This window comes from Homo sapiens, chromosome 11 (assembly GCF_000001405.40).
Source record: "Homo sapiens chromosome 11, GRCh38.p14 Primary Assembly".
NCBI classification, from domain to species: domain Eukaryota; kingdom Metazoa; phylum Chordata; class Mammalia; order Primates; family Hominidae; genus Homo; species Homo sapiens.
Window position 1 is genome coordinate 72,901,829 of NC_000011.10, and position 24,423 is coordinate 72,926,251.

Below are 24,423 nucleotides of genomic sequence, written 5' to 3' on the forward strand. Positions count from 1 at the left end.
CACATGTTCATTATTCCATTTATTAATTCTATTCTGGTTTTTTTTTTGTTTGTTTGTTTGTTTTGAGACAGAATCTCACTCTGTCATCCAGGCTGGAGTGCAGTGGTGTGATCTCGGCTCACTGTAACCTCTGCCTCCCAGGTTCAAGTGATTCTCCTGCTTTAGCCTCCTGAGTAGCTGGGATTACAGGGGCCCACGACCAAGCCCAGCTAATTTTTGTATTTTTAGTAGAGACAGGGTTTTGTCATGTTGGCCAGGCTGGTCTTGAACTCCTGACCTCAGGTCATCCACCTGCCTCGGCCTCCCAAAGTGCTGAGATTACAAGCGTGAGCCACAGCGCACGGCCTACTCTGGTTAAAATTTAACCACTGATTTCTGTGGAGGGGTACAACATAAAAAATTTCAGGGAAAATATAATTTACATTTGAGTAAATGTATTGAATATTTTTCTTCTTCCCTCAGTTGTTTTCAGGTTTCAGTAACTTGTCTTATAACTTAACCTCATTTGGTAGAAGGTTGCTAGCATAAAGACACTGAGTTTCTTGGCCACAATTCAGAAAAAAAAAGTCATAATTATTCTGTGTCCTCACAGTTTTGTTATAAAATTGATGAGATATACTCAGCTTTTTCTGTCTGTCTATGCCAAGGGTAACTGTTACTTAAGCACAAACACAACTGAACAACACATGAAATGAAAATCTATAATTCCCTTACAGTATCACTGTCACAAGGCTGGAACTGGAAGGGCTGGGGTTTGTGAAATACAGCGTTTTCTTGCAAAAACAGCTGAAGATTGTAGTCCCGGACCACCTAAAGAGAAAATAAAATATCTTTAGGTCTTTAATGAGGTTAAAATGTCCAATTACATTATAAAGTTTAAGATTTATTCTGCTATTTTCTATACAAATGAGAAATCATCCAACACTGTGGTAAAAAAGAAATGGTGTTACGCATTTTATTTTTCATTTTAGACAATGGTTATTATTTATCTGTCCTATTTTCTCAAAAATAAATTTGGAAAGTGATAGTTTAGAAACTAGATCAGATTTGGGGACTGGACAATATATAATACCTTAAGAAAGCAAGAAGATAGTTTTTACACAAAAAGCTATTCTGTGTAACACAGAATAGTGTGCAGATAAGGAAACACATTGGTCTTTGCCATCTCTCCCAGCTCTAAAATTGTATGGGCCTCTTAAAGTCTGTTTCATGGCCATTGCCATCCACTAGGAAACTGCCAGATAATCCCATCCACAGCACCAAATAGTGTTTGTAGAGTATTTCTCAGCACCTTCTTGAGGAGGTTACACTCTAATTACCATCTTACAGCATACCAAGAAGACAGGCTAGAAAGGAATTTATTTATTTATTTATTTATATATTTATTTATTTATTTATTTATTTTTTGAGACGAGTCTCGCTCTGTCGCCTGGGCTGGAGTACAGTGGTGCAAGCTCGGCTCACTGCAAGCTCCGCCTCCCGGGTTCATGCCATTCTCCTGCCTCAGCTTCCCGAGTAGCTGGGACTACAGGCGCCCGCCACTGCGCCCAGCTAATTTTTTTGTATTTTTTTAGTAGAGATGGGGTTTCACCCTGTTAGCCAGGATGGTCTCGATCTCCTGACCTCGTGATCCACCGGCCTCGGCCTCCTAAAGTGCTGGGATTACAGGCGTGAGCTACCGCGCCCGGCCTGGAATTTCTATAAAAGGAGAATTCTGATAAGGCAGCATAACAAATAGCACAGAAAGGCAGCCATCTGAAAAGAATTCATTGCATTTACATACCTTGGGAAAGAGTGGAAATCGGCATCTGATGGGGCAAAAAACCCCACTTTCTATTTTGCTACCATATCGCTTACCCCTTACTTGTCTTTCATTTGCAGTATATTATAGCCCATTAGCACCTCTGCTAGAAGATGGGCAGAAGAAAAAAAAAGTTCAAAGTAACTCTGTACCTCTACTTTAGTAGTCCTGGGAAAAGGGATAATTGAGGAGACGCAAAAAGTAGTAGGTGTATATTGCATTTTGTTTACCAGTGCAATCCCATTTCTCTACTGCTTCCCTCCCCCTCACTCCACCAACCATTTATTGAGAGAGTTTACCAGGTCCAACATGAAACACAGGGATAAGGGGGATATATAGATGAATAAGACAAACAAACAAGGTTAGTATCTGCAAAGAATTTATAATCTGGGAACTGGGCGAACCAAACAGACTACATAATTAAAATACACCACGGAGTGTGTAAAGGGTACGAGAAGAGAACAAGGTGATATTTAATCCAGGCCGATGATGGGGTGAGATGAGGTGAGGAGTTGTCAGAATATGGTCTGGGAAGGCTGGCTGAATAAACATATTCTCAAAGAGAAATGTACTTTGTTCTCTTCTTGGATTCCAGTTTTAAGCTAGAATAGCTGTGAAAGCTCATTACACAGCCCTCAGAGCCTCTCTAATCACCATGCAGAAAAGCTAAGAGGATCACCTCTCTAGTTGCCAAACTTGTCCTCAAAACTATTAACCTTTTTGTTTTGTTCCTCTTGAGGAGGAGATTTCAACCTTTTAAAATTTTAAACTCTTTGTTATGGAAAATTTCAAATACATATGTAAAGACAACAATAGAATGTATCCTCATGTCTTCATCACCCAGTTTCCAAAACATCCCCTTATGGCCAATATTCTTTCATCTTTAAGCCCACCTACCTCTTCCACCCCTAATTATATTGAAACAAGTTCCAGACCTATCATTTAGTTTATAAATATTTCAGTATGACATCTAAAAGGACTCTTTTAAGAAAATATATCCATATTACAATTTACAGTAAGTACTTACAAAGCAACAAGTTCTCAAATTTCCCTGATTGTTTCTTTTTTTTACAAAAAAGTTTTTCAAATCAGGATACAAATACAGCCCCCACAGTGCAATTGCACGATGCTGTTTAGCTTTCTTTTCATATACTAGTTTCTTCATCTATCTCTCCTTTCCTCCCTCTTGCAATTTAATTGTTGAAGAAACTGGGTTTTTGTTCTGTAGAGTTTCCTGTAGTCTGGGAAGAAATGACAAACATGTAATTTTTATTACATCCTTGTAGTATTCTGTTTCCAGTATTTCCTATACATTGGAATGGGTGTTTTTTGTCTTGTTTATTTATTTATTTTCTTGGGAAGGTAACGTTTACTTCCATCAGGAAGCTTGCTTCTTTTTACAAACAGCTGTAGTGGGCTGAATGGTAGCCTCTCAAAAGATATGTTCATGTCCTAATTCCCAAAACCTGTGAATGTTACTTCATTTGGCAAAAGTGACTTTGTAGAAGTCCAAGATCGAGTGTTGACAGGTTTAATTTCTTCTGACGGTAATTATTGTCGGCTTGTAGTTGGCCACCTTCTTCTGGTATCTTCACGTGATCTTCTCCCTGTGCCTGTGTCCCGCTCTCCTTTTTTTCAAAAAGTTTTAACTTTTAATCTCTGTGGGTATATAGTAGGTATTTATATTTATGGGGTACATAAGATATTTTGATACAGGACTACAATGTGTAATAATCATATCAAGGTAAATGGGGTATCCACCACCTCAAGCATTTATCCTTACTTTGTATTACAAAAAATCCAATTATACTTTTTTATTTTTATTATACTTTCAGTTCTAGGGTACATAGGCACAACGTGCAGGTTTGTTACACAGGTATACATGTGCCATGCTGGTTTGCTGCACCCATCAACTCATCATTTACGTTAGGTATTTCTCCCAATGCTATCCTTCCCCTAGCCCCCCACCCCCCGACAGGTCCCAGTGCGTGATGTTCCCTACCCTGTGTCCATGTGTTCTCATTGTTCAACTCCCATCTATGAGTGAGAACATGCAGTGTTTGGTTTTCTGTCCTTGTGATAGTTTGCTTAGAATATTGGTTTCCAACTTCATCAATGTCCCTGCAAAGGACATGAACTCACCCCTTTTTATGGCTGCATAGTATTCCATGGTGTATATGTGCTATATTTTCTTAATCCAGTCTATCATTGATGGACATTTGGGTTGGCTCCAAGTCTTTGCTATTGTGAATAGTGCCGCAATAAACATATGTGTGCATGTGTCTTTATAGCAGAATGATTTATAATCCTTTGGGTATATACCCAGTAATGGGATTGCTGGGTCAAATGGTATTTCTAGTTCTAGATCCTTGAGGAGTTGCCACACTGCCTTCCACAATGGTTGAACTAATTTACACTCCCACCAACAGTGTAAAAGTGTTCCTATTTCTCCACATCCTCTCCAGCATCTGTTGTTTCCTTTTTAATGATCGCCATTCTGTTGTGACATAGTATCTCATTGTGGTTTTGATTTGCATTTCTCTGATGACCAGTGATGATGAGCATTTTTTCATGTCTGTTGGCTGCATAAATGTCTTCTTTTGAGAAGTGTCTGTTCATATCCTTTGCCCACTTTTTGATGGCGTTGTTTTTTTCTTGTAAATTTGTTTAAGTCCTTTGTAGATTCTGGATACTAGCCCTTTGTCAGATGGGTAGATTGCAAAGATTTTCTCCCATTCAGTAGGGTGCCTGTTCACTCTGATGATAGTTTCTTTTGCTGTGCAGAAGCTCTTTAGTTTAATTAGATACTATTTGTCTATTTTGGTTTTTGTTGCCATTGCTTTCGGTGTTTTAGTCATGAAGTCTTTGCCCATGCCTATGTCCTGAATGGTATTGCCTAGGTTTTCTTCTAGGGTTTTTATGGTGTTAGGACTTACATTTAAGTCTTTAATCCATCTTGAGTTAATTTTTGTATAAAGTGTAAGGAAGGGATCCAATTTAAGCTTTCTACATATAGCTAGCCAGTTTTCCCAGCACCATTTATTAAACTGAATCCTTTCCCCATTTCTTGTTTTTGTCAGGTTTATCAAAGATCAGATGGTTGTAGGTGTGTGGTGTTATTTCTGAGGCATTTGTTCTGTTCCACTGGTCTATGTATCTGTTTTGGTACCAGTGCCATGCTGTTTTGGTTACTGTAGCCTTGTAGTATAGTTTGAAGTCAGGTAGCACGATGTCTCCAGCTTTGTTCTTTTTGCTTAGGATTGTCTTGGCTATGCGGGCTCTTTTTCGGTTCCATATGAACTTTAAAGTAGTTTTTTCCAATTCTGTGAAAAACTCAGTGGTAGCTTGATGGGGACAGCATTGAATCCATAAATTACCTTGGGCAGTATGGCCATTTGTTTGCGTCCTCTTTTATTTCGTTGAGCCCTTCACATCCCTTGTAAGTTGGATTCCTAGGTATTTTATTCACTTTGTAGTAATTGTGAATGGGAGTTCACTCATTATTTGGCTCTCTATTACTGCTGGAATGCCTGTGATTTTTGCACATTAATTTTGTATCCTGAGACTTTGCTGAAGTTGCTTATCAGCTTAAGGAGATTTTGGGCTGAGACAATGGGGTTTTCTAAATATACAATCATGTCATCTGCAAAAAGACACAATTTGACTTACTCTTTTCCTAATTGAATACCCTTTATTTCTTTCTCTTGCCTGATTGCCTTAGCCAGAACTTCCAATACTATGTTGAATACAAATGGTGAGAGAGAGCATCCTTATCTTGTGCTGGTTTTCAAAGGGAATGCTTCCAGTTTTTGCCCATTCAGTATAATATTGGCTGTGAGTCTGTCATAAATAACTCTTATTATTTTGAGATATGTTCCAACAATACCTAGTTTATTGAGAGTTTTTAGCATGAAGGGCTGCTAAATTTTGTTGAAGGCCTTTTCTGCATCTATTGAGATAATCACGTGGGTTTTTTTTTTTTTTTTTTTTCTTGAGACGGAGTCTGGCTTTGTCTCCCAGGCACGATCTTGGCTCACTGCAACCTCCACCTCCCAGGTTCATGCCATACTCCTGCCTCAGCCTCTCGAGTAGCTGGGACTACAGGCACCCGCCACCACGCCTGGCTGCTAATTTTTTGTATTTTTAGTAGAGACAGGGTTTCACCATGTTAGCCAGGATGGTCTCGATCTCCTGACCTCGTCATCTGCCCACCTTGGCCTCCCAAAGTGCTGGGATTACAGGCGTGAGCCACCATGCCTGGCTGGTTTTGTTATTTTTAAATGTATAATAAACTATTGCTGACGTGGTCACCTTATTGTGTCATCGAATATAGATCTTATTCATTCTATCTAACTATATTTTTTATACCCATTAGCCATCCTGGCTCCCCCCACATCTGACTACCCTTCCCAGACTCTGGTAAACAACCTTCTACATTTTATCTCCATGAGTTCAATTTGTTTTAATTTTTTAACTCTCACAAATAAGTGAGAACATGTGAAATTTGTCTTTCTGTGCCTAGTTTATTTCACTTAACATAATGACCTCCAGTTTTATCTATGTTGTTGTAAATGACAGGATCTCATTCTTTTTCATGGCTGAATAATACTCCATTGTGTATATATACCACATTTTCTCTATCCGTTCATCTGTTGATGGACACTTAGGTTGCTTCTAAATCTTGGCTATTGTGAATAGTGCTGCAATCAACATGAGAGTGCAGATATCTCTTTGATATATTGATTTCCTTTCTTTTGGGTGTATACCTAGCAGTGAGATTGCTGAATCATAAGGCAGTTCTATTTTTAGTTTGTTGAGGAACTGCCAAACTGTTTTCCATAGCGGTTGTACTAATTTACATTCCCAGCAACAGTATACAAGGGCTCCCTTTTCTCCACATCCTCACCAGCATCTGTGTTACTGCCTATCTTTTGGATAAAAGCCACCTGAACTAGGATGATATAATATCTTACTGTAGTTTTGATTTGCATTTCTCTGATGATTAATGATGTTGAGTACCTTTCCATATGCCTGTCTGCCACTTATTTTTATCATTATTTTTTGAGACAGAGTCTCACCCAGGCTAGAGTGCAGTGGCACAATCTCAGCTCACTGCAGCCTCTGCCTCCCTGGCTCAAGAGATCCTCCCATCTCAGCCTCCTACAGACATATGCCACTATGCCCCGCTATAGTTTTGTACTTTTTGTAGAGATGGGGTTTCACCATGTTGCCCAGGCTGGTCTCTAACTCCTGGGCTCAAGCGATCTGCCCACCTTGGCCTCCTACAGTGCTGGGATTACAGGTGTGAGCCATTGCATGTTGCCCTGTCTGCTATTTATATGTCCTTTTTTGAGAAATGTCTATTCAGATCTTTTCCCCATTTTTAAATCGAATTATTAAATTTTTTCCACCTCTCCCTTCCCCTCCCCCCTCCATCTCTCCGGTCTCCCTCTGTTGCCGATACTGCCGTGATCTCAGCTCGCTGCAACCTCCCTGCCTTGGGCTCCCGTGATTCTCCTGCCTTGGCCTGCTGAGTGTCTGGGATTGCAGGCACACGCCGCCACGCCTGACTGGTTTTTGTATTTTTGGTGGAGACGGGGTTTCGCCCTGTTGACCGGGCTGGTCTCCAGCTCTTGACCTCGAGTGATCTGCCCGCCTCGGCCTCCTGAGGTGCTGGGATTGCAGATGGAGTCTCGCTCACTCAATGCTCAATGTTGCCCAGGCTGGAGTGCAGTGGCGTGATCTCGGCTCGCTACAACCTCCACCTCCCAGCTGCCTGCCTTGGCCTCCAAAAGTGCTAAGATTACAGCCTCTGCCCAGCCGCCACCCCATCTAGGAAGTGAGGAGCGTCTCTGCCTGGCCGCCCATCATCTGGGATGTGAGGAGCCCCTCTGCCCGGCCGCCCTGTCTGGGAAGTGAGGAGCGCCTCTGCCCAGCTGCCACCCCGTCTAGGAAGTGAGGAGCATCTCTGCCTGGCTGTCCATCATCTGGGATGTGAGGAGTGCCTCTGGCCGGCCGCCACCCTGTCTGGGAAGTGGGGAGCGCCTCTGCCTGGCCGCCCCGTCTGGGATGTGAGGAGCGCCTCTGCCTGGCCGCCACCCCGTCTGGTAGGTGAGGAGTGCCTCTGCCTGGCCGCCCCATCTGGGAACTGAGGAGCACCTCTGCCCGGCCGCCCCGTCTGAGAAGTGAGGAGCACCTCTGCCCGGCAGCCGCCCCATCTGGGAAGTGAGGAGTGCCTCTGCCCGGCAGCCGCCCCATCTGGGAAGTGAGGAGCACCTCTGCCCGGCTGCCCATCATCTGAGATGTGAGGAGTACCTCTGCCCAGCTGCCCATTGTCTGGGAGGTGAGGAGCACCTCTGCCCGGCCGCCCCATCTAGGAAGTGAGGAGCGCCTCTGCCCGGCCACCCCGTCTGGGAAGTGAGGAGCACCTCTGCCCGGCCGCCCCATCTGGGAGGTGAGGAGCCCCTCTGCCCGGCCACCCATCGTCTGGGAAGTGAGGAGCACCTCTGCCCGGCTGCCCCATCTGGGAAGTGAGGAGCACCTCTGCCTGGCCGCCCAGTCTGGGAGGTGAGGAGCGCCTCTGCCTGGCTGCCCATCATCTGGGATGTGAGGAGAGCCTCTGCCCGGCCACCCCATCTGGGAAGTGAGGAGCGCCTTTGTCCGGCCGCCCCGTCTGGGAGGTGTACCCAACAGCTCCGAAGAGACAGCGACCATCGAGAACGGGCCATGATGACGATGGCGGTTTTGTCGAAAAGAAAAGGGGGAAATGTGGGGAAAAGAGAGATCAGATTGTTACTGTGTCTGTGTAGAAAGAAGTAGACATAGGAGACTCCATTTTGTTCTGTAATAAGAAAAATTCTTCTGCCTTGGGATGCTGTTAATCTATAACCTTACCCCCAACCCCATGCTCTTTGAAACATGTGCTCTGTCAACTCAGGGTTAAATGGATTAAGGGTGGTGCAAGATGTGCTTTGTTAAACAGATGCCTGAAGGCAGCATGCTCGTTAAGAGTCATCACCACTCCCTAATCTCAAGTACCCAGGGATACAAACACTGCGGAAGGCTGCAGGGACCACTGCCTAGGAAAACCAGAGACCTTTGTTCACGTGTTTATCTGCTGACCTTCTCTCCACTATTATCCTATGACCCTGCCACATCCCCCTCTCCGAGAAACACCCAAGAATGATCAATAAATACTAAAAAAAAAAAAAAAAAAAAAATTTCCTATAGAGTTGTTTGAGCTCCTTATATATTCTCATTATTAATCCTCTGTCAGATGGATATTTTGCAAATATTGTCTCCCATTCTGTGGGTTGTTGCTTCACTTTGTTGATTATTTCCTTTGCTGTGCAGAAACTTTTTAACTTGATGTGATCCCACTTGTCCATTTTTGCTTTGGTTGCCTGTGCTTGCAGGGTATTACTCAATCTTTGCCTAGTCCTATGTCTTAGAGAGTTTCTCAGTGTTTTCTTTTAGTAGTTTCATAGTTTGAGGTCTTAGATTTAAGTCTTTAATCCATTTTGATTTGATTTTTGTATATGGCAAGAGATAGGGGTCTTAATTCTTCTGCATATGAATATATCCAGTTTCTCCAGCACCATTTATTGAAGAGATTGTCCTTTCTCCAATGTATGTTCTTGACAACTTTGTCAAAAATGAGTTCACTGCAGATAGGTAGATTTGATTCTGGGTTCTCTATTCTGTTCCACTGGTATTTGTTTTTATGCCAGTACCATGCTGTTTTGGTTACTATAGCTTTGTAGTATAATTAGAAGTCACACAATATGATTCCTTGAGTTCTTTTTGTTCAGGATAGCTGGATAGCTTTGGTTATTCTGGGTCTTTTGTGGTTCTGTCAAAATTTTAGGATTGCTTTTTCTATCTCTGTGAAGAATGGCACTGGTATTTTGAAAGAGACTGCATTGAATCTGTAGACTGCTTTGGGTAGTATTGACATTTTAAGAATATTTATTCTCCCAATCCATCAACATGGAATATCTTTCCATTTGTTTGTGTCCTCTTCAATTTATTCCTTCCTTCCTTTTTTATTTTTATTATTATTATACTTTAAGTTTTAGGGTACATGTGCACAATGTGCAGGTTAGTTACATATGTTCGCTTTTGTTGCCTAGGCTGGAGTGCACTGGCACAATCCTGGCTCACTGCAACCTCCATCTCTTGAATTCAAGCGATTCTCCTGTCTCAGCCTCCCAATTTCTTTCATTTTAAGAGACCTTTCACTTCTTTGGTTAATTCCTATGTATTTTAATGTATTTGTAGCTATTGTAAATGACATTACTTTCTTGATTTATTTTTCAGAATGCTTACTGTTCACATATAGAAATGCTACTTATTTTTGTATGTTGATTTTGTATCCTGCAACTTTACTAAAGGTGTTTATCAGTTTGAATATTTTGGTGGAGTCTTCAGGTTTTTCAAAATATAAGCCTACATCATCTGCAAAGAATAATAATTTGACTTCTTCCTTTCCACTTTGGATGCTCTTTCTTTCTTTTGTCTGACTGCTGTAGCTAGGACTTCCAGTACTATGTTGAACAACAGTGGTAAAAGTGGGCATCCTTGTCATGTTCCAAATCTTAGAGGAAACGCATTCAGTTTTTCTCCATTCAATATGATACTCATTGTGGGTCTGTTATACATGGCTTTTATTGTATTGAGATATGTTCCCTCTATACCCAGTTTATTGAGGGGTTTTATCATAAGGGGAGGTTAAATTTTATCAAATGCTTTTTCAGTATCAATTGAAATGATCATATAGTTTTTGCCCTTCACACAGAGTGATTTGTGTATGTTGAACCATCCCTGCATTCTTGGGATACATTCCACTTGGTCATGATGAATAATCTTTTTAATGCGTTGTTGAATTCAGTTTGCTAGTATTTTGTTGAGGATTTTTGCATTAATGTTCATCAGGGATACTGGCTTGTAGTTTTTATTTTTTGATGTGTCTTTGTCTGATTTTGGTATCAGGGTAATGCTGGCCTTAGAGAATGAGATGGGAAGTATTCCCCCCTCCTCTATTTTTTGGAATTGGTTGAGTAAAATTGGTATTAGTTATTCTTTAAATGTTTGATAAAATTCAGCAGCAAAGCCACCCAGTCCCAGGCTTTTCCTTGCTGAGAGACTTTCTATTACAGCTTTGATCTTGTTACTTGTTTTTTCATCTCTTCAGGTTTTGAATTTCTTCATGGCTCAATCTTGGTAGGTGTATTAGTCCATTCTCACATTGCTATAATGAACTACCTGAGACTGGGTAATTTATAAAGAAAAACAGTTTAATTGACCCATGGTTCTGCAGGCTGTACAGGAAGCATGGCTGGGGAGGCTTCCGGACACTTACAATCATGGCAGAAGGCAAAGGGGAAGCAGCTTTGTCTTACGTGGCAGGAGCAGGAGGAAAAGAGAGAAGGGGGAGGTGCTACACACTTTTAAACAACCAGATCTCATGAGGACTCACTCACTACCAAGAGAACAGCAAGGGGGAACTCCATCCCCGTGATTTAATTACCTCCCACTGGCCCCTCCTCCAACATTGGGGATTATTATAATTTGATGAGATTTGGGTGGGGACACAAATCCAAACCATATTGGTAGGTTGCATGCATCTAGGAATTTATCCATTTTTTTTCTTTTTTTGAGACAGAGTCTCAGTCTGTTGCCCAGGATGAAGTGCAGCAGTGCAATCCTGACTCACTGCAAACTCTGCCTCCCAGGTTCAAATGATTTTCACACCTCAGCCTCCCGAGCAGCTGGGATTTCAGGCATGTGCCACCACACTTGGATAATTTTTGTATTTTTAGTAGAGACAGGGTTTCGCCATGTTGGCCAGGCTGATCGCGAACTCCTGGCCTCAAGTGATCCACCCACCTTGGCCTCCCAAAGTGCTGTGATTACATGTGTGAGCCATCACACCCAGCCCTATTTATCCATTTCTTCTGGGTTTTCCAATTTATTGGCATATATTGTTCACAGTAGCCTCTAATGGTCCTTTGAATTTCTGTGGTATTGGTTGTAATGTCTCCTTTTTCACTTCTGATTTTATTTATTTGGTTATTCTCTTTTTTTCCTCACTAGTCTGGCTAAAGGTTTGCTGATTTTCAACAGTCAAGCCGAGAGCCAAATTACTAATGGACTCCCTTTCACAACTGATATACAAAAAAACCAAAAAAAACCCAAAAAAAAAACAAAAAAAAAAACCCTAGAAATACAGCTAACAAGGGAATTGAAGGACCTCTAAAAGGAGAACTACAAATCACTGCTGCTCAAATAAATTAGAGATGATACAAACAAATGAAAAAACATACTATGCTCATGGACAGGAAAAATCAATATCATAAAAATGGCCATACTGCCTTAAGCTATTTATTTATTTATTTATTTATTTCAGAAGGAGTCTCACTGTCGCCCAGGCTAGAGTGCAGTGGCATAATCTCAGCTCGCTGCAAACTGCGCTTCCTGGGTTCAAGTGATTCTCCTGCCTCAGCCTCCCGAGCAGCTGGGACTACAGACATGTGCCACCACTCCTGGCTAATTTTTGTATTTTTAGTGGAGATGGGGTTTCACCATGTTGGCCAGACTGATCTTGAACTCCTGACCTAAAGTGATCTGCCCACCGTGGCCTCCCAAAGTGCTGGGATTACAGGTGTGAGTCAGGTGCCCAGCCTGCCCTAAGCAATTTATAGATTCAATGCTATTCCCATTGAACTACCATTGACATTCTTTGCAGAACTAGAAAAAACTATTTTAAAATTCATATGAAACCAAAAGATTCTGAATAGCCAAGGCAATCCTAAGCAAAAAGAACAAAGCTAGAGGCATCACGCTACCCAACTTCAAACTATACCACAGGGCCACAGCAACCAAACAGCATGGTACTAGTACAACAGACACATAGACCAATGAAACAGAATAGAGAACCCAGAAATAAGACCGCACACCTAAAACCACCTGATCTTCAACAAACCTGACAAAAAGCAATGGGGAAAGGATTCCCTATTTAATAAATGGTGCTGGGATAACTGGCTAGCCATATGCAGAAAATTGAAACTGGACCCCTTCCTTACACCATATACAAAAGTCAACTCAAGATGGACTAAAGACTTAAATGTAAAACCCGAAACTATAAAAACCCTAGAGGAAAACCTAGGCAATACCATTCAGGACATAGGCATGGGCAAAGATTTCATGATGAAGATGCCAAAAGCAATTGCAACAAAAGCAAAAATTGACAAATGGGATCTAATAAAACTTAAGAGCTTCTGCACAGCAAAATAAACTATCAACGGAATAAAAAGGCATCCTACAGAATGGGAATTTTTTTTTTTTTTTTTTTTGCAAACTAAGCATCTGACAAAGGTCTAATACCCAGCATCTATAAGGAACTTAAACAAGTTTACAAGAAAGAAACAAACAACTTCATTCAAAAGTGGGCAAACGACATGAACAGACACTTCTGAAAATAAGACATACATGTGGCCAGCAATCATATGAAAAAAACTCAACATCACTGATCATTACAGAAATGCAAATCAAAACCACCATGAGATACCATCTCACACCAATAAGAATGGTTATCAATAAAAAATTAAAAAAACAACGGATGCTGGCAAGGTTGTGGAGAAAAAGGAACACTTTTACACTGTTGGTAGGAGTGTAAATTAGTTCAACCATCGTGGAAGACAGGGTGGCAATTCCTCAAAGACCTAGAGACAGAAAAACCATTTGACCCAGCAATCCCGTTACTGAGTATAACCCCAAAGGAATATACATTGTTCTATTATAAAGACATATGCCTGCTTATGTTCATTGCAGCACCATTCACAATAGCAGAGACATGGAACAAACCTAAATGCCCACCAATGATAGACTGGATATAGAAAATGTGGTACATGGTCGGGCGTGGTGGCTCATGCCTGTAACCCCAGCACTTTGGCCAAGGTGGGTGGATCACCTGAGGTCAGGAGTTCAAAACCAGCCTGGCCAACAAGGCAAAACCCCAGCTCTACAAAAATACAAAAATTAGCCGGGCGCGGTGGTGGGCGCCTATAATCCCAGCTACTCGGGAGGCTGAGGCAGGAGAATCGCTTGAACCTGGGAGGCAGAGGTTGCAGTGAGCCGAGATCACGCCATTGCTCTCCAGCCTGGGTGACAGAGCAAGACTCTGCCTCAAAAACAAAAAACAAAAAGAAAAGAAAAGAAAATGTGGTACATATACACCACAGAACACTATGCAGCCATAAAAAAGAATGAGATCGTGTCCTTTGCAGGAACATGAATGGAGCTGGAGGCCACTATCCTTAGCAAACTAATGTAGGAACAGAAAAGCAAATACCACATGTTCTCATTTGTAAGTGGGAGCTAAATTATGAGAACACATGGGAACAACGCACACTAGGGCCTACCAGAGGGTAGAGGGTGGAGGGTGGGAGGAGGGAGAGAATCAGGAAAAATAACTAATGGGTACTAGGCTTAATACGTGGGTGATAAAATAATGTGTACCAAACCCTCCATGACACAAGTTTACCTACATAATCTGCACATCCTGCACATGTACCCCTGAAATTAAAATTAAAGGGAAAAAAAGGTTTATCAATTTTGTTAATCTTTTCAAAAAACTAGCTTTTAATTTCATTGACCTTTTGGTACACAACTTTTTTTTTTTTTTTTTTTTTTTTAAAGAGACAGGGTCTTGCTCTGTCACCCAGGCTACAGTACAGTAGTAGCATGATCATAGCCTGCTGCAGCTTCCAATTCCTGGGCTCAAGTAATCCTCCCACTTGGGCCTCCCGAGTAGTTGGGACAACAGGTATGCAGCACCATGTCTGGCTAATTTAAAAAATTTTTTTGTAGAGATAGGGTCTTGCTATGTTGCCTAGGCTGCTCTTGAACTCCTCAGCTCAAGCAATTCCCCCACCTTGGCCTTCCAAAGTATTGGGATTACAAGCGTGAGCCACTGTGCCCAGCCTCCTTTGTTCACTTTTATATTGGGTTGTCTCTGATGTTGAGTTGTAAGAGTTCTTTGTATATTCTGAATATGAAACTTTTATCAGATATGTGATGTGCAAATATTTTCTCTCATCATTTGGGTTGATTTCACATTCTTAATAATGTCCTTTGATGCACAAAAGCTTTTAATTTGATACAGTCTAATTATCTATGTTTTCTTTCGTTACTTGTGCTTTCAACGTCAAATCTGAGAATGCACTGCCAAATCAAGGTCATAAAGATCTATCTCTGTTTTCTCTTATAAGTTAGGTCATTGATCAATTTTGAGTTAATTTTGTGAGGTAAGGGTTCACAACTTCATTGAACTTCATTCTTTTTTTTTTTTTTTTTTTTTTTTTTTTTTTTTTGAAGCAGAGTGTTGCTCTGTCGCCCAGGCTGGAGTGCAGTGGTACGATCTCAGCTCACTGCAACCTCCACCTTTCGGGTTCAAGCGATTCTCCTGCCTCAGCCTCCCAAGCAGCTGGGACTACAGGCACCCACCACCACGCCCAGCCAATTTTTGTATTTTTAGTAGAGATGAGGTTTCACCATATTGGCCAGGCTGGTCTTGAACTCCTGATCTCATGATCCACCCATCTCGGCCTCTCAAAGTGTTGGGATTACAGGCGTGAGCCATCACACCTGGCTTGAACTTCATTCTTTTGCATGTGGCTATCCAGCTGTCCCAAAACCTTTTTCTGAAGAGAATATTCTTTCTCTATTGAATAGTCATGGCACCTTTGTTGCAAATCAATTGACCATAGATGTTCAGGTTTATTTCTGAACTCTCAATTCTGTTTCATTGGTCTATATGTCTATACTTATGTCCATACCACGCTATCTTTACTACTGTAACTTTATAGTAAGTTATGAAATTGGGAAGTGTGAGTCCTCCAACTTTATTTTTCCTTTTCAATATTGTTTAAACTATTCATGGTCCCTTGTAGTTCCATATTAATTCGAAGACTGGGCCGAGTGCAGTGGCTGACGCCTGTAATCCCAGCACTTTGGGAGGCCAAGGCAGGCGGATCACTTGACGTCAGGAGTTCAAGACTAGCCTGGCTAACATGACGAAACCCCGTCTTGACTAAAAATACAAACAAATTAGCCAGGCGTGGTGGCATATGCCTGTAATTCTAGCTACTTGGGATGCTGAGGCAGGAGAATCGCTTGAACCTGGGAGGTGGAGGTTGCAGTGAGCTGAGCTCATGCCATTGCACTCTAGCCTGGGTGACAGAGTGAGACCTTGTCTCAAATTAAAAAAAAAAAAAAATTGAGGACCGGCTTTTCCATTTCTGCAAAAAAGGCCATTGGAATTTTGATAGGGACTACATTGAATCTGTAGATCACTTTGGGGAATATTACAATATTAGCAACATGAAATCTCCCAATCCATGAACATTTATTATATGCATTTATTTATATCTTTTATTTCTTTCAGCAATGTTTTATAGTTTTCAGTGTACAGGCCTTTAACTCCTTTGGTTAAGTTTATTCCTAGATAGTTTATTCTCTGAGTATTATTGTAGTTGGAATTATTTTCTTAACCTTCTTTTTGGATCATTCATTGATGGAATATAGAGATGCAACTGATTTTTGTGTTTTTATCTTATATGTTGCTAAATTTATTAGCTCTATTAGTTTTTTTAATGGGCTCTCTGAGAGTTTATAAATATAATCATGTCATCTGCAAAGAGAGGTAATTTTAATTCTTCTTTTTCAATTTGGCTGCCTTTTATTTCTTTTTCTTACCGAATTGCCCTGTCTAGGACTTCCAGTACAATGGTTAATAGCGGTGGTGAAAATGGGTATCCTTGTTTTGTTCCTGATGTTAGCAGAGGAAGATTTCAGTCTTTCATTATTGAATATGACATTGGTTGATGCTATCATGTTATGTAAGTTCCCTTCTATTCTAGTTTGCTGAGTGTTTATCACAAAAAAGTACTGAATTTTGTCAAATCTTTTTCTGTGTCTATTGAAATGATCATGAAGTTTTTTCCTTCCTTTTATCTACTTTTTTTGGTTAGACTTCGAAGTATTAAGAACAGTAACACTAGACAAATTAATTTTCAAATAAATGTAGAATAACATTGTTATTTTCTGAATTCTTTTTTTAAATTTATTTTTCTGAATTCTTAAATGAACTTTGTTATTAATTGGAAGGCATTTCCTTATGGAGACAAAAAGCAAGCACACACAAACAAATTATAAAGGCCAGTAGAGCTACCTTCAGAGTTACTATCCTAGAGAAAATACCTATGACAACATCTGCTTCAGTTACATATACAAAGCATTTCATAAAATATTAAGAAGAAAAGCAAGCTTCATAAATAATTAAAGTTTAACAAAAGCTCCTAGGGCCATCTGTTTCCATTTAGGGGATGAATGATATAGGAAGCACTTTAACATTTACAGTATGTTGGATGAATTACCACCAAAATATCTTTGGGGATATGTCACATTTTGAACATGGTAATAATAATATAAAATAAAAAAAATCTAAAAAGTGTCAAACTTCCCTTTAGGTTGCTTTCAGCAGCATAGCAAGAGCAGCATAACAAGCTCTTCATAACAGAAAAACACATGGCATAAAACTTGTAGGCCTCTTCTGGTACTTGGAACAAAAGGGCACTACATTATTCTTATTAAATTTTTATTCCTACCACTTTCAATTTAAATGTAAGAGCATCTCATTTATTCCTCATTTCTGGGGAGTGAGATACTCATATGAGTGAATGCAGAAAATGAAAGCTTATCTCTTTATGTGTCCAAACTAGTTCATAAATTCTTAATTCATTTTCTATTAAAATAATACAAGCTAAAGAGAATATAGTAGAAGATCATGGAAAGCACTATGTGTGAGTGTGTAACCTCAGGCCAAGCCACATAAACTTCTGAGTCCAATTTCCTCCATATAAAATGAACATGGTAATGGCGACCTCATGGGATTCAAGATATATCCCATGCTAAAAGTCTTAAGAAATTGTTAAGTGTGTGTAAAATATTAGCTATCTGTTACGACTATAATGTTTCCTGTTTTATAAACTAAGGGTAGTGTCTCCAGTCCAACTTATTCTTGGAAAAAAACATTTCAAAGAATTTTGCTAGAAGATAACCTCTCTGATAAAATTAGAATAAATGTCGTTGGATTAAAAATACAATTTATAATAAAATTAGAATAAATGTCGTTGGATTAAAAATACAATTTATAATAAAATTAGAAATAAAAATGTCACCCTACCACATATTCCAACTGAATGGAAACTGAAAAACTCATTTCTAAATAATCATGGGTTAATAAGGAGAAAAAAATAGATATAAAACAAAAGCCCTACATATCACAGAATGCAGTTCAAGCAGAAAGACACTTTTTTAAAAGCTTTAAACAAATTTACTTAAAAACAAGAAAGACTGAAAATATAGGATCTAAATAGAAAAAGAAGCTTGAGAAAGAACAATAACATAAACTGTAAGACAGTAGAAATAATGAATATAAAGGCAAAAATTAAGGAAATAGACACAACACTGAGAAGCAGAATAAAGGTCATTTTATCTGGTTCTTGGCAAAGATTAATAAAATAGACTGGCAAGTCTGGTCAAAATAAGACAGAGGGCACACACAATATTAAAAACAAAAACAGAGACAATTCTAGAAGCAAACAAGTTTATGACATCAAATCTGATAAATGAAATGGACAACTGCCTAGGAAAATTGGACATTTTAATGAAATGGACAATTGTCCAGGAAAATGTAAGTTACCCAAATATACTGAAAAAGAGACAGAAAATCTAAATGGACAAATAAACATAAAAAATTTGATCACGGCTGGGCATGGTGGCTCATGCCTGTAATCCCAGCACTTTGAGAGGCAAGGCGGGTGGACCACTTGAGGCCAGGACTTCAAGACCAGCCTGATCAACATGTTGAAACCTTGTCTCTACTAAAAATAACAACAACAACAACAAAATTGTTCACTCAAAAATCAACCACTTCATAGAAGGAACAAAGATAAGATTTTTTCATAGACTTTTCCCCCAACATTCTTTTCTGAAAAATTCAAATATATATACATTAAAATCAAACAAATTATACAGTAAATACTTATATACATACTACATAGATTCCTCAATTAATGTTTTACTACATTTTCCTTTTCTCTTAGATTTTGGGGGATGACAATATAGGAAAACAGATACATGACAGGACTTCAAAGCACCAGGCTAGTGATTTTTGTATTTCCGTATCAACCTAGCATTTTTAACACTTTTATAAACACAGAATTGAGAGCTCTGGTACAGTGAAAACAAGAATATATATACAAGAGGCATTCAGGATGAAGAGTCTGTGCTTTTCTTTCCTGTCTTTGGACACTGTCATGTGAAAATGGATATCCTGATCCCTCTCCTAAAAGTATTAGCCAGTTCTCACTCTCCCTGACAAAAAAAAAAAATTGAACTGGATCTTTTAAAGTAGCAGTTATGAAATGCGTATTTTTAAAAAATGCATTCCTTTAGTCAGGAAACATTTATTGTGAATTTAATTTATCAGATAAAAAACATTTGCCAACCACAGGAACAATTTATCTTCCAAAGGATAGTTTCACGACTGCAAAACATTTTAATCTATCAAATCTTGAAGAAAAGTCATTGCATTTATTTTCTCTGCATACAATGTGACATGTCAGCAAACCTGATGGATCTCAACACTTTTAAATGAAACGACTGCTGTCAAAGAATGACAGCATATAGATAGTAGGGCTTAATTTGAAAAAAACCCAAGACACTGTTGTTTTTATATCAATTACAAAACGCTCCTTTTCCCTTCGTGCTCTTTTAGTACTCTTTGTACTGACACATGACCTGTTGTTTCCCCCATGTGAGCAGAGTGCATTTAAACTCTGAGTAGAATACAAAACTGTTTAAACCCTTCTCAAAGGCAATGCACATGGCAATGGGCCAATGTTCTAAGCTACCTTGTATCAGCACCTCTCTTTTTGCCCTTGGTGCCATCTTCAACTCATCAACAAGGAGAACAGAATCTCCTCCAACTTTGTTAGAAGGAATGCTGTTACCAGGAAATTTGTTCGTTAATGCATTCTTCTAATATCACTAGTACCTTCATTTTCTTTGTATGCAGAAATACTTTAGCTTCTAAGTTGGATAACACTACACGTTGCACTAAAGGTAACTTACCTTGCTGGAGTTTTCTAATAAAAACTGGAATGTGTTCTGCACAGCTTGGCATGTTTCTAGCTCAGTCCGGCTGAAGGCTATTAAATAATCCTTGAGATGATCATACACATTTCCATCAAGAGCCTGTAATAGAGGAGTAAATAAAAGAAAAAAAATTACAGTAAAGCCTTGACATATGATATCTTCTGCCTATGAGAAAAGTAGGTATGTTCAGTTTAAAATTTATTATTAATAATAAATGGACAAAAGATACAGATTGTAAGTAAATATGAACAGTTAACAATCACTTGAGAAAATGTTGAATCTCTCTAATAAACAGGAACTAAAAGAGGTAAGATCCAATATTGGTAAAGCTGTGGGAAAACAGGACACAACTTAGAGACAAAATGCGTGGGTTCTGATCTTTGCTCATCTGCTTAGGTGTAGGAGTTAAGTGAAATAATAAACGTGAAAGGATGCAGGTGCAGTGCCTGGAAAAGAGTAGACACTCTACAATAATCTCCGTTTTCCCCCAATCCATTATTGGTAGGATTATACATTGGTATATGTATATTTACTGAACAGCAGTGACAGAAAAAACACAATAGAAATATTAAAAAAAGAAAAGTGACTCAGAGATACTGCTTTGGGGAAGAAAACCCAGTGTAATATCTATGAAGGGTTGGAAACATTCTTATTTCCTTAAACATTTTGTAACAGGGATCTTTGAAATAAAAAAAAAGGAGAGAAAATCACTGAACATTTGAGGAATGATTAAGCTATGATGTGTACTGTCACCAAAATAAAAACCGTGGAAACTGTATAGATGACAAGTATGTATCAAATAATTTTAGGTTAAAAAAACAGAATATACATATGACATATACACTAGCAATAACTATGGAAAAATATAATAATAATAATTAATAATAATCAAGGTTCTGAAGTCTTGCCAATCAGTAGAGGTAAAAATTGAGGTAAAATTCACCCAATATAAGTCACCATTTTAATAATTTTAAAGTGTACAACTCAGTGGCTTTTAGTACACTGACAAAGTTGTTTAACAATTTCCATTATCTAATTCCAGAACATTTCCACCACTTCTCCAAAAACACTGTACCTGTTAAGTGGTCATTCTCCATCCCTTCCTTCCCCCAGCCCCTGGCAACCACTAGTCTGCTTTCTACCTCTATGGATTTGCCTACTCTGGATATTTCATATAAATCAAATCATATAATATATGACTTTTGGTGCCTGGCTTCTGTTGCCCAGCATAATATTTTCAAGGCTCATTGATTTATCAGTACTTCATTCCTTTTTACAGCTTAATAATATTCAGTTGTACCACATTTTGTTTATTAATCAGGTGATATAAATTTGCCTTTTCCCCATTTTTTGACTATTATAAATAATGCTGCAAAGTTAAAAAATAAATAAATAATGCTGCTATGAACATTTGTGTACAAGGTTTTGTTTGAGCACCTGTTTCCATTTCTCTTGGGAATATACCCAGGAATGGAATTGCTCGGTCATATGATAACTCTATGTTTAATTTTGAGGAACTGTCAAACTGTTTTCCAGTGACTGCAACATTTTACCTTTCTACTAGCAATGTATGAGGGTTCAAATTCTCCACACCCTTGCCAACACTTATTCTTTTGTATTTTGGTATTTTTTTTTTAAATTATGAAAGCCATATTAGTGATTAGGAACGGTATATCTTTGTAGTTTTGATTTGCATTTCTCTAATGACTATGTTGAGCAACTTTTCATGTGCTTATTTGGCCATTTGTATATCTTCTTTGGTGAAAAGCCTACTCAAGTCCTTAACTCATTTTTAAATTAGGTTGTCAGGTTGGGTGTGGTGGGTCACGCCTGTAATCCCAGCACTTTGAGAGGCTGAGGTGGGCGGATCAAGAGATCAGGAGTTCGAGACCAGCCTGGCCAAAATGGTGAAACCCCGTCTCTACTAAAAATACAAAAATTAGCTGATGTAGTGGCGTCTGCCTGTAATCCCAGCTACTTGGCAGGCTGAGGCAGGAGAACTGCTTGTACCCAGGAGGTGGAGGTTGCAGTAAGCCGAGTTTGTGCTATTGAAATACAGCTCTGCGTGACAGAGCAAGACTCAGTCTCAGAAAATAAATAAATAAATAAAGTTGTCTTTTTGTTGTTGGGTTGTAAGAATCCTTTATATATTCTGGATACTAGATTCTTACAATATGTATGATTTGCAAATATTTTCTCCCATTTTGTGGGCTGTCTTTTCACTTTCTTGAAAGTTTCTTTTGATGTACAAAAGTTTTACTTTTTTAAAAAAAGTGATAAGGTCTTGTCATGTTTCCCAGGCTGGACTCAAACTTCTGGGTTCCAGTAATCCGCCTGTCTCAGCCTCCTAAATAGCTGGGACCACAGGCACTCACCACTGCATCTGGCTTACAAGTTTTAAATTTTGATGCAGTCTAATTTAGCTATTTTTCTTTCTTTTTTTTGAGACAGAGTCTTGCTCTATTGCCCAGGCTGGAGTGCAGTGGCATGATCTCGGCTCACTGCAAGCTCTGCCTCCTGGGTTCATGCCATTCTCCTGCCGCAGCCTCCCGAGTAGCTGGGACTACAGGTGCCCGCCACCACACCCGGCTTTTTTTTTTTTTTGTATTTTCAGTAGAGACGGGGTTTCACCGTGTTAGCCAGGATGGTCTCGATCTCCTGATCTCGTGATCCGCCCACCTTGGCCTCCCAAAGTGCTGGGATTACAGACATGAGCCACCACGCCCCACCCAGCTATTTTTCTTTTGTTGCTTCTGTGTTGGTACTATATCTAAGAATCCTCAATGGAAGTCTTCCATTGTATCTTATGTTTGGCTGTTCCATTAAACTTTTTTTTTTTTTTTTTAAATACACAAATTCTGTCCCAAAAGCACTGAGTAATAAAGCTGCACCTTCTATAGTGCTTACACCACTAGATGACACCATTGAGCACTTCAAATTTAGGCACTGCAAATATTATTACTATGATTTCCATGTAATTATGTAACATAACCAGAGACACTGCTGGTGTTAAGTCTGAATAAATTTCCTGTATCAGGACATACTTTTCCTGAACTTGTTTAGAAAAAGAAACATATAACATCTTCTGATGTAAGGTTTCTACCTTAGAAATGGTCTTGGTGGACAATCATAACATGATTACATTTTGGCAGGAAACCATTGGAGTATTTTGAGTTCAGCAAATGGTAATACAGGCATCATGAGCTCAAAAAAAAATAAGGCATGGATTTTAAGGTGAACCATATACCCACACAGTTTCTATTATCTCAGTACAATATAAACAGTACCCACTGTGCCTAGGCTCTGTGCTAGCTGTATGGGTGCAAGTGAGAGGGAGGAGAAAAGTTGAAGAAAAGAAAATCAAAGTTCTGCTGGTACTTCTGTTTTTGACCTTACCATAATCAGGATCATTTCTGATTATAGATATTTCTTACTAAAGGCATTGTACTTTTAATTTTGATAGAAGTATATTACAAATCAGGAATTATACATTCACTCAGCTTCTTAAATCCTACTTTAAAAATTCCAGCTGGGTACAGTGACTTGTGCCTATGATCTCAGCTACTTGGGAGGCTGAGGCAGGAAGACTGTTTGAGCCCAGGAGTTTGAATCTGCAGTGATCTATGATCGTGCCACTGCACCCCAGCCTGGGCAACAGAGCGAGACCCTATCTTTAAAACAAACAAACAAACAAATAAATTTCTAAACACTTCATAAAGACATTCAAGAAGGAATTTGTTGCCACGGTGTATTTCACTTCAGCAATAAAACATATATTATCTCATCATGAGATAATAACTGACGCACGTATCCCAGGGTCCACCAGTAGACACGATTATCGAAATGGCTGCCAAAGCCTTACCAAAGTGATGGCAGTGGCTGCTGCCATCATGCCGGCTAGAGCAGGGAAGCATTGCTGGGGTTGCACACTCCATGGAGCCAGTGGCTACAGAGCCCTGCCCCTTCTGAGTTGGGACGGGAGCTGCCCAGGTACCACTGCAGTCGCTCAAACTGCACCTACAGACCCTGGCCTCCTGGTCTACGGAGCAGGCAGGAGCCCCACCCTCCTGGGACTGGCTACAGCTGACCAATCTGCAGCTGTGGATCCAAGCCTCCCTGTGCTCCTGGGGGAGGGCCGGGAAGGGCCCCCTGCCCCTGTCCCTGCTGGCTTGGGGATATCTGTTCCCGCTGCTTGGCCTCTCTCTTCTCCTGGAGCCCACTCAGATTAGTGGGGTTGGGGCTGAGCCCCAGGGCCCTGAATAGCAATGGGAGGCAGAGTCCTGGGCAGAAGAGGGTGGGTTCCCAGTAAGGCCCCACCTTCAGGCCAGGGAGGGCCTGAAGACTGGGGGCTGGACTGCCAGTCCAGCAGACTAGAGTGGGGACTGGTGGTGCCTCTTCTG

At 39.9% G+C, this 24,423-nt stretch overlaps 1 protein-coding gene across 5 annotated transcripts in view; it reads right to left on the bottom strand.

The window, feature by feature from the left end:
• FCHSD2 (FCH and double SH3 domains 2) overlaps window positions 1-24,423 on the bottom strand; it is a 305,574-nt gene that overhangs the window by 65,084 nt on the left and 216,067 nt on the right. For all 5 annotated transcript variants that reach the window (NM_014824.3, XM_011545409.2, XM_011545410.3 and 2 more), the window contains 2 exons: window positions 20,000-20,122; window positions 715-810 (listed from right to left, as the gene is read on the bottom strand). In NM_014824.3, the coding sequence (NP_055639.2) occupies window positions 715-810; window positions 20,000-20,122 (219 nt within the window). The remainder of the gene's footprint in view (window positions 1-714; window positions 811-19,999; window positions 20,123-24,423) is intronic.